The following is an 11,868-nucleotide window of genomic DNA, read 5'->3' as shown; positions in this document are numbered from 1 at the left end:
ACAACTGGTACCAGCCACTACAAAAACATGCCAAAGTGTAAAGACCATCAAGGCTAGGAAGAAACTGCATCAACTAACGAGCAAAATAACCAGCTAACATCATAATGACAGGACCAAATACACACATAACAATATTAACTTTAAATGTAAATGGGCTAAATGCTCCAATTAAAAGACACAGACTGGCAAATTGGATAAAGAGTCAAGACCCATCAGTGTGCTGTATCCAGGAAACCCATCTCATGTGCAGAGACACACATAGGCTCAAAATAAAGGGGTGGGGGAAGATCTACCAAGCAAATGGAAAACAAAAAAAGGCAGGGGTTGCAATCCTAGTCTCTGATAAAACAGACTTTAAACCAACAAAGATCAAAAGAGACAAAGAAGGCCATTACATAATGGTAAAAGGATCAATTCAACAAGAAGAGCTAACTATCCTAAATATATATGCACCCAACACAGGAGCACCCAGATTCATAAAGCAAGTCCTGAGTGACCTACAAAGAGACTTAGACTCCCACACAATAATAATGGGAGACTTTAACACCCCACTGTCAACATTAGACAGATCAATGAGACACAAAGTTAACAAGGATACCCAGGAATTGAACTCACCTCTGCACCAAGTGGACCTAATAGACATCTACAGAACTCTCCACCCCAAATCAACAGAATATACATTTTTTTCAGCACCACACTACACCTATTCCAAAATTGACCACATAGTTGGAAGTAAAGCACCCCTCAGCAAATGTAAAAGAACAGAAATTATAACAAACTCTCAGACCACGGTGCAATCAAACTAGAACTCAGCATTAAGAAACTCACTCAAAACCCCTCAACTACATGGAAACTGAACAACCTGCTCCTGAATGACTACTGGGTACATAACGAAATGAAGGCAGAAATAAAGATGTTCTTTGAAACCAACGAGAACAGGCACAACATACCAGAATCTCTGGGACACATTCAAAGCAGTGTGTAGAGGGAAATTTATAGCACTAAATGCCCACAAGAGAAAGCAGGAAAGATCCAAAATTGACACCCTAACGTCGCAATTAAAAGAACTAGAAAAGCAAGAGCAAACACATTCAAAAGCTAGCCAAAGGAAAGAAATAACTAAAATCAGAGCAGAACTGAAGGAAATAGAGACACAAAAAACCCTTCAAAAAATTAATGAATCCAGGAGCTGGTTTTTCGAAAAGATCAACAAAATCGATAGACTGACAGCAAGAATAATAAAGAAGAAAAGAGAGAAGAATCAAATAGATGCAATAAAAAATGAAAAAGGGGATATCACCACCGATCCCACAGAAATACAAACTACCATCAGAGAATACTACAAACAACTCTACTCAAATAAACTAGAAAATCTAGAAGAAATGGATAAATTCCTCGACACACACACTCTCCCAAGACTAAACCAGGAAGAAGTTGAATCTCTGAATAGACCAATAACAGGATCTGAAATTGTGGCAATAATCAATAGCTTACCAACTGAAAAAAGTCCAGGACCAGATGGATTCACAGCCAAATTCTACCAGAGGTACAAGGAGGAGCTGGTACCATTCCTTCTGAAACTATTCCAATCAATAGAAAAAGAGGGAATCCTCCCTAACTCATTTTATGAGACCAGCATCATCCTGATACCAAAGCCTGGCAGAGACACAACCAAAAAAGAGAATTTTAGACCAATATCCTTGATGAACATTGATGCAAAAATCCTCAATAAAATACTGGCAAACCAAATCCAGCAGCACATCAAAAAGCTTATCCACCATGATCAAGTGGGCTTCATCCCTGGGATGCAAGGCTGGTTCAATATACGCAAATCAATAAATGTAATCCAGCATATAAACAGAGCCAAAGACAAAAACCACATGATTATCTCAATAGATGCAGAAAAGCCTTTGACAAAATTCAACAACCTTTCATGCTAAAAACTCTCAATAAATTAGGTATTGATGGGACGTATTTCAAAATGATAAGAGCTATCTATGACAAACCCACAGCCAATATCATACTGAATGGGCAAAAACTGGAAGCATTCCCCTTGAAAACTGGCACAAGACAGGGATGCCCTCTCTCACCACTCCTATTCAACATAGTGTTGGAAGTTCTGGCCAGGGCAATTAGGCAGGAGAAGGAAATAAAAGGTATTCAATTAGGAAAAGAGGAAGTCAAATTGTCCCTGTTTGCAGACGACATGATTGTATATCTAGAAAACCCCATCGTCTCAGCCCAAAATCTCCTTAAGCTGATAAGCAACTTCAGCAAAGTCTCAGGATACAAAATCAATGTACAAAAATCACAAGCATTCTTATACACCAATAACAGACAAACAGAGAGCCAAATCATGAGTGAACTCCCATTCACAATTGCTTCAAAGAGAATAAAATACCTAGGAATCCAACTTACAAGGGATGTGAAGGACCTCTTCAAGGAGAACTACAAACCACTGCTCAAGGAAATAAAAGAGGATACAAACAAATGGAAGAACATTCCATGCTCATGGGTAGGAAGAATCAATATCGTGAAAATGGCCATACTGCCCAAGGTAATTTACAGATTCAATGCCATCCCCATCAAGCTACCAATGACTTTCTTCCCAGAATTGGAAAAAACTACTTTAAAGTTCATATGGAACCAAAAAAGAGCCCTCATCGCCAAGTCAATCCTGAGCCAAAAGAACAAAGCCAGAAGCATCACGCTACCTGACTTCGAACTATACTACAAGGCTACAGTAACCAAAACAGCCTGGTACTGGTACCAAAACAGAGATATAGACCAATGGAACAGAACAGAGCCCTCAGAAATAATGCCGCATATCTACAACTATCTGATCTTTGACAAACCTCACAAAAACAAGCAATGGGGAAAGGATTCCCTATTTAATAAATGGTGCTGGGAAAAATGGCTAACCATATGTAGAAAGCTGAAACTGGATCCCTTCCTTACACCTTATACAAAAATTAATTCAAGATGGATTAAAGACTTACATGTTAGAGCTAAAACCATAAAAACCCTAGAAGAAAAACTAGGCAATACCATTCAGGACATAGGCATGGGCAAGGACTTCATGTCTAAACCACCAAAAGCAACGGCAGCAAAAGCCAAAATTGACAAATGGGATCTAATTAAACTAAAGAACTTCTGCACAGCAAAAGAAACTACCATCAGAGTGAACAGGCAACCTACAAAATGGGAGAAAATTTTCACAACCTACTCATCTGACAAAGGGCTAATATCCAGAATCTACAATGAACTCCAGCAAATTTACAAGAAAAAAACAAACAACCCCATCAAAAAGTGGGCGAAGGACATGAACAGACACTTCTCAAAAGAAGACATTTATGCAGCCAAAAAACACATGAAAAAATGCTCACCATCACTGGCCATCAGAGAAATGCAAATCAAAACCACAATGAGATACCATCTCACACCAGTTAGAATGGCAATCATTAAAAAGTCAGGAAACAACAGGTGCTGGAGAGGATGTGGAGAAATAGGAACACTTTCACACTGTTGGTGGGACTGTAAACTAGTTCAACCATTGTGGAAGTCAGTGTGGTGATTCCTCAGGGATCTAGAACTAGAAATACCATTTGACCCAGCCATCCCATTACTGGGTATATACCCAAAGGATTATAAATCATGCTGCTATAAAGACACATGCACACTTATGTTTACTGCAGCACTATTCACAATAGCAAAGACTTGGAACCAACCCAAATGTCCAACAATGATAGACTGGATTAAGAAAATGTGGCACATATACACCATGGAATACTATGCAGCCATAAAAAATGAAGAGTTCATGTCCTTTGCAGGGACATGGATGAAACTGGAAACCATCATTCTCAGCAAACTAACGCAAGGACAAAAAACCAAACACCGCATGTTCTCACTCATAGGTGGGAACTGAACAATGAGAACACATGGACACAGGAAGGGGAACATCACACTCCGGGGACGGTTGTGGGGTGGGGGGAGGGGGGAGAGATAGCATTAGGAGATATACCTAATGCTAAATGACGAGTTAATGGGTGCAGCACACCAACATGGCACATGTATACATATGTAACAAACCTGCACATTGTGCACATGTACCCTAAAACTTAAAGTATAATAATAATAAAATAAAATAAAATAAAATAAAATAAAATAAAATAAAATAAAAAAATAAAAAAGAATGAAAAAAACTTGTGGATTTTCATCCCTCTAATATATGTATACACACTCTATATTATGTGATCCAGTAAAAATGAAAATAAATAATAAATAGATTCATACAAGTAAACATTTAGGAATATCAAATAATAAAAACAAAATCAAGTAATGGATTTCTTTTTTGCCAATACAAAAATTCCCAATCTCAGCTTCTGTGCAATTAAAGCCCTCCTTAAGACTTAAATTTAACCACTGCCTTATGTTGGAAAAAAATGTACATGACCAGCTATGAAAAACAGTGCCCAGGCTGATTGATTTCGTACTTTTCTGGGAGAGATAGAAGATGTAAACAGTTTCACTCTCCAGGAGATCTCAGATCATGGCTTTATTGAGTTTAGTTTGTCAGACTGATACTTTAGAAATGGTGATGCCATTCATGGTCACAAACTTATGCTATTGCATCTTAGGGGAAAAGTAATCATTCCTGAAATTGTATGTACACTGTCCATCAGTATCAAGTGAAGAATCTCTTGACTATTTGTTTTTTGTTTTTTTAATTTTTTTTAAGACTGAATCTCGCTCTGTCATCCAGGCTGGAATGCAGTGGCACAATCTCGGCTCACTGCAACCTCCTGCTCCCTGATTCAAGCAATTCGCCTGCCTCAGCCTCCTGAGTAGCTGGGATTACAGGCACCCACCACTATGCCTGGCTTTTTTTTTTTTTTTTTTTTTTTTTTTGTATTTTTAGTAGATACAGGGTTTTGCCATGTTGGCCAGGCTGGTCTTGAACTCCTGACCTCAGGTGATCTGCCCACCTCGGCCTCCCAAAGTGCTGGGATTACAGGCATGAGCCTCGTAATAGTGCCTGGCCCTTTTTGGTTTGGTTTTACTGAGACCTTCTTGCCTGGCAAATATAAACTTGAAGATTCATTAACTTTTTAATAATCAATCATCTGTCCATCCTATGTATAGTGGATTAGCAGCCCTCACAGCCATTCTAACCTGTTCCCAATGTGCCCTCCATGCTACAGAGACTGGAAAGCTAAAAGCCACATCTCCCAGACTTCCTAGTAGCCGAGGTTTTGTTCCACCAATCATGCGTACTGGCATGAGAGCTAGAAGACAAGACAAATAAGCTTCCGCTGCTTTGTCGCTTCCTGTTAGCCAACACTAGAGTGGAAGTGTCTGGTTTTTCTGACGCAGTTTTTTGAGAGTATTCATTTATTTCTTCTGAGTCAACTTGCTAGGGAATTTTTTTTTAATTGGAGAAAAGGGATATACATTTTATTAACATGTACACGGGGAGAACCACACAGAGTCATTACCCCAGTCTCTTGATCTTGTCAGTTCCCAGTAGTGCTGACCTCCTTTTCATGCAGGTGTGATCTTCCCAGAAGTGGTCATTTGGTCCCAGACCCAGCAGCTGACCCCTCAGTGTCCCAGCTTGGCTGTAGTTCTCCCAATCAAAGAAGAGCAGTCTCTACCTTGGTGGCCCAGTCAGTGTGTGGTTTCCAAGGTGGTTCCTGAAAGCTCACTGTGGAGGATGTTGCTGCAGCCTTCTCGATGGTGAACCACATTCTCTAATTAATCCCTTTCTGTTCAAATTAGCTAGAGCAGACTCTTTTTTTTTCTTTTTTCTTTTTTTTTGCTACTGGACCTTGACAGACACAGCCCTTAAACCCTTTCTATAGAGACTCTCTTCCACCCTGAATTGATTAAAAGACAGGCATACTTATTTAATCAGCCCATCAACGATGGGCCTTGCACTGTTTTAGACTACTGTTTTAGATTACTGCCGTTAATAAACAAAGCAGATAATGTGGAGTGGTCAAGGAGCATTCATTTAAGGGAGCAAGATGTACACCTGCCACGTAAACAAGATAATTTCCAAGACAAATGTAATGCAGAAACTAAAACACAGTAACAATATAGACAGTGACTCTGGCTGGCAGGGAGGGTCATGTAGGATACGGTGATCAGGGAAGCCTCTCTAAGCAGGTGTTATTGGACCTGAGTAACAAGTAAACAGAGACCTGCGAATAGAGCTTTCCAGGAGTGAGATCTGAAAGAAAAAGACTGAAAGGTGAGAAGGAGCTTCAGATGTCTGAGAGGTGGAAGAAAGGTCAGTGTGGCTAGAGCTTAATGAGCACAGAGGAACAAGGTCAGAGCACATTTCATTTATTCACCAGTGAAATATCTGTTTGAGCACCTACTATGCATCATACCCTATTCAGAGTGCCTGCATTACATCAGTGGAAAATAGACACAAAAATTCCTGTTCTCATGGAGATTATATTTTATTGGTGGGGAAGGGAGGAACAATAAACAAATACATAGGTAAAATGCATATTTACATTATATCAAAGATTCTCAACCAGGGGTGGTTTTGTCCCCCAGGAGACATTTGGCAGTGTCTGGAGACATTTCTGGCTGTCACAACCTAGGGAGGAAAGTTGCAGGTATTGAGTGGGTCGAGGGTGGTGATGCTGCTAAACATCCTGCAAGGCACAGGATAATAGCCCGCAACAAAGAACTGTCCCAAAATGCCAATCATGCCAAGCTTGAGAAGCCCTGTATGAGGTGGTGGCAAGAGTTACAGGGAAAACAATCCGAGAAAGGTCAAAGGGAGTCCCAGGGGCAAGGTGGAGGGGGTGAGGAGTTGTTCAGGGAAGAGCTCACCAGGAAGATGACATCTGAACAAAAACCTGCAAAAGGAGCAGCGGGGAGCTGCTGTAGATATCTGCAGGAAGAGCATCATAGGACAGGAAATGACAAATGTGAAGGCCCTGAGGGAGGAACATGTTGGGCAAGTTCCGGGAAAGCAGGAGACCAATGTGGCAGGGGCAGAGTGAGCAAAAGGAGGAGGAGCAGAAATGAAAATCTTACGGGGCCCAGATGTGTCGAGCGTCAGCTTGTGCTCTGAGTGACTGGGAAGTCATTTGGGAACTTTGGGCAGAGCAGTGACATGATTTCTGAATCCATTTTTGAAAGGATCACTCTGGCTGCTGTTTGGAAAATGATTCGTTAAGAGAACAAGGGCAGAAGCCAGGGATACCAATTAGGTGGCATCAAGTAGACTGCACGAGAAGGAGGTGGTACAGATAACAACAAAATGTCTGGTGTAAGCAAGGCAAAGGTCTGAGATGCTGGGCCCCGAGATGGGAGAGCCGTGAGAGAAGCCGGTTTAGGAGGCAATGGAGATCAGGCATTCCAGGTTAGACATATGGAGTCTGAGATGCCAATAAGAAATCCAAATGGAGATGTCACAGACTGTAGAATGAGTCTAGGGTTTACCAAAATCTGGGTTGGACATACTAATCTACTGGAAACGAAAAAACAAATGGCATCTAAATTGGCAAAGAGTATAAAATCGCCAAAGATGTGAGCATAGAGAGTAGTAGTCTGAAGACTGGGGAGTTATACAGGGCCCAGATTGTAGAGAATGTTATCAAAATGCTAGAGACATATGGTCTGGCCGGGTACAGTGGCTCACACCTGTCATCCCAGCACTTTAGGAGGCCAAGGTGGGCAGATCACTTGAGCCCAAGAGTTTGAGACCAGCCTGGGCAACATGGCAAAACCCCACCTCTATTTTTATTTAAGAAAAAAAAAGTAGATAATTGTCACTATAAATTCCTTAGAGGAAAGCTAAAACCAAGATTTTTAAAGCAACAGTATCATGGATTAGTGGAGTTGTTTAAAGAATTCCATTGCGGGACCATAAAAATCAACTAACTTAAATCCAAAATATTAGAGATGAGGAGGCTGATGCCCCACATAGCAAGGTCACAGAACAGTGGGATTTTGGAGTGCATTAGCCCGGGGTCCCACAGCTGATTATGGGCATAATCAAAACAAGAAGCTTAATCTTCTTTCTTATTCTAATGCTCTTTCTTCTTTATCATGCTGAGAAGTCCAACTCAGAAGTCCAATTCAAAACAAAGAAGAAATTCTTCTGAAATAATCATTTCAACTGGGGGAGAAATTTGATTTGCTTACAAATATTTGATACTCACAAAACTTGTCTTATAGACAACTTGCAGCATAAAGCAGTGCACCTCTCTATCTGCAGAAGAATAAGAACAATCCTGTGTACTAAACTCAAGGATGAAACACCAATCTTGTTTTGGGGAGGTAAAATAAGCTCTCTGGCAACTGGTCCTGTTGCTTTAGCACCTAGGAGGAAAGTAAGGAAGTGAGTCAACATGGGGACATAACTTGGTTAGCCCAGGATTTCATCTGTACTCTGCAATAAACAAGCCAACATTAATTCAGAAGGCTGCTGTGTGTCCCTGATAGAATTACCCGTGAATGTTGCTGGTGCTAACAGTAATAGGAGGCACAGTGATTCTGTGCTTTCCCTGAAGAGGACAAAAACTAATCTCCTTTTCATCCTTGTCTCAAAGCACACTCACAAATATACACATTTATTTCCATGGAATGAAGAAAGACGGTGAGGACTGCTATGGTCCCACCGTACACTAAGGAACAAAAACATCAGAAGGGGAAGTGAGCTGGCCCTGCCATCCTGTGAGTCAGTGGTGAAGAGACAGTATTCTATCCACAGCTTAGCCACTGACCGTGCCCAGCAAGCAAACCCAGAGAGGCAGAGCAGACCTAGGTCTGGACTAGCTCAGCATAGGGGGAGATGAACAAGAGTGTGCATTCACACAGTGAGTAGCCCATATGGTACAACATGAACCAAAACATCTCAGACCTCAAACCTCTGCTTTCAAGGATGCCAAGGTTCTCACTCTTAGATGCCATTTGTATACTACAGGACGAATTGTGGGTTGTTCACCTTTTTCCTTATTTCTTTTTTAAAAATTTCTGAATAAAAATACCTTTTAAAATGTCTCCCTTGTTTTTGTTTTGTTTTCTTTTTCAAAATGAGTATTTGCAGTTGCTTTCTGGAACTCTGTTTACTTCTTTTCTTCAATCAGCATAAAATTACTCTGGGAACAGGAAATATGGTTTAGTAAGAAAACAGCATTTGTTGAAAAAGAGAAATACTAACTGCATCTTCTGAAAATCAAAGGGTACAGTAATCTACATCTCCAAAGCAGGTCTTCGAATGGTAAACTCCCCACTGTTGTCTTCTGGGAAATGGTGTTCTTAAGCAAGTGACCTGAATCTTATTGAAATATTTTCCCAGGTAATACAACTTTGCTTATTTTCTAGGCCACTCTTGGAAAAGTCTTTCCAAATTCTACCCACACTTCAAGGCTAAGTCCGCATACTATCTCTTTCCTGAAACTTCCCTGATTATTCCTCTCAGCCAACGTGTATGTGTGTCTAAATTTCTCTACTAGGCTGAAATGTCCTTCAAGTCAAAAGTCTAGTATATATTATTGAATCCTATTCTCTCCTTATAGTATCTAACATGGTGCTTTTGTATAAAAACAGAGGAATCCCATATATTAATAGCTAGAAAGAGAAGGTTACTTGGTTACCAGACTGAAGGGTACATTCTTAGAAGATTATAGATATCTTTGGGGCATAAGTAAATATATCTAGAAAGGCTACTACCAAAATGGGGCATTTAAATGCACTACGTATCATGGAAGGTGTTCAAATAGAAAGTGGATAATCACTTATGAGATGTTAGACAGCAGCTGGGAAGGTAGAGCAGATGACCTCTTGGCCCTTTCCAACTCTAAGTTTCAAAATGATTTTTAGAAAGATTGGTTAGCTGGATAACCCTGTTTTGCTATTGTCTCTGTGGACACTGCCACTCTAGCAGGAAACTCTAAGAGCTTTTCCAAACAGTCTGATCGAAACACCCCAGCTTACAGCTTCTAAGGAATGCATCCTAGAACCTTCTCACTTTGACATTATTCTACCTTCACTTTACTTGGTCATCACAAAAGGTCATGATTCAGAAAGACCACAAAGTAGTTGGCATCTGAACTCTTCAACTCTCAATCCCAGATAGAGAAATTTAAGTTCTGGGTCAATTTTGCGCTCACTTGCTCTGTGCTCTTGGTCTCTCCTAGAATAAGCCAGATACAATAGAGGGTCTGAGAATCATTTTCCTAATATTTGCCATTGTTGCTTTTTTCTATATCTCATCAGTGGGAAATACTGCAGGGACTTTGACTAGCTTCATCCTTTCTCAATAATTGTATGCGTCAGATTAGTGGCACAAAGGAAAAAGTAGCAGAAGAGTTGAAAACATGCTCATTGAGTATGCCATACTTCTTGATTGTTGGTGTTCCTTAAGGTAACATCCTCACTCTCTGAAGGACATGCCCAAAACACTACTGAGGAGGACTACGCCTAACACTATGGAGGCATGCATTAACAGTGGGATTTCAGGCATCAGTGGGATTTGGGAACTAAGTTAAGAGTGTTTCATTGTTGTCTGTCTATCTATTTCTGTTCTAATCACAACCCAGACCATAGTAATGCTAGTCCCTAAGTGCTGTGTATGCAGATTTGTATAGAACAAACAGTTGAAGGTGTCAAAATTAATCAGGACTCAAATAGCAATATGTTATAATATGATAATCTGTTTCATTATTCTAATTGTTTTTACTATTTTGAAAGACTGATAAAGCTAAAAACAGAAATGACAGACCTGTCACATGTTTCTTTCCATGAATCTACTTCACAATATAAGTGTTTTTGTGAGATTAATGCAGATTTCTCCAGCTAGAGATTGTTTTTATTACCATAAAGCTAAACACCCTATATATTAAATTCTAAAGTATAGTGATCACAAATTACTTAAATCACAAATTACTTAAAGTAATTCCAGCTAATTGAAAAACATGCTCTCCATTTAAAAATTATTTATTATATTTTCAAGAGCCTCTTAATTATCCTTGGGAAAATATGATCAGTGTGGACATCTGTGGAAGTAGTTACAGTGCAAAATAATCAAGCTACCTCTTACGTTAAACAATCCAACAAATGAGAGCAAAATCAATTATTGCTTCAACTTTTTTTTCTTTCTTTTTTTTTTTTTTTGAGATGGAGTCTCGCTCCATCACCCAGGCTGGAGTGCAGTGGTGCCATCTCAGCTCACTACAAGCTCCGCCTCCTGGGTTCACGCCATTCTCCTGCCTCAGCCTCCCAAGTAGCTGGGACTACAGGTGCCCACCACCACGCCCGGCTAATTTTTGTTGTATTTTTTAGTAGAGACAGGGTTTCACCATGTTAGCCATGCTTCAACTTTTAAAAAGTCTTCTCCCATGATATTAGACCAGGCTCAAGAAGACATTGTGTTGATTCATTGCTCATGTATGAATACACTGAAAAGACATATCCTAATAGGATTATCATGAATCTAGCAAAAAGACAGGCTCAAGCCCCTTTTATAAGAATGAAAGATATGCCTAGGCATGGTGGCTCATGTCTGTAATCCCAGCGCTTTGGGAGGCCAAGACAGACATATCCCTTGGGCCTAGGAGTTTGAGACCAGCCTGGGCAACATAGTGAAACCCCATCTCTACAAAGAATACAAAAATTGCACTCTGGAAGGCCAAGGCAGGTGGATCATGAGGTCAAGAAACTGAGACCATCCTGGCCAACATGGTGAAACCCCATCTCTACTAAAAATACAAAAATTAGCTGGGCGTGGTGGTGCACGCCTATAGTCCCAGCTACTTGGGAGGCTGAGGCAGGAGAATCACTTGAGCCCAGGAGGCAGAGGTTGCAGTGAGCCGAGATAGTGCCACTGCACTCCACCCTGGC

At 40.4% G+C, this 11,868-nt stretch overlaps 1 long non-coding RNA gene across 1 annotated transcript in view; it reads right to left on the bottom strand.

Moving 5' to 3' along the window:
• Positions 1–6,442: 6,442 nt before the first annotated feature.
• The window catches only part of CBSLR (CBS mRNA stabilizing lncRNA), a 58,849-nt gene continuing 53,423 nt past the window's right edge, over positions 6,443–11,868 (bottom strand). The window contains exons 3-4 of the long non-coding RNA XR_007066771.1: positions 9,015–9,125; positions 6,443–8,346 (exon numbers count right to left, since the gene is read on the bottom strand). This is a non-coding gene — a long non-coding RNA (CBS mRNA stabilizing lncRNA). The remainder of the gene's footprint in view (positions 8,347–9,014; positions 9,126–11,868) is intronic.

Source organism: Homo sapiens, chromosome 1, assembly GCF_000001405.40.
Source record: "Homo sapiens chromosome 1, GRCh38.p14 Primary Assembly".
NCBI classification, from domain to species: domain Eukaryota; kingdom Metazoa; phylum Chordata; class Mammalia; order Primates; family Hominidae; genus Homo; species Homo sapiens.
This window is presented reverse-complemented; position numbering and strand designations above follow the sequence as displayed.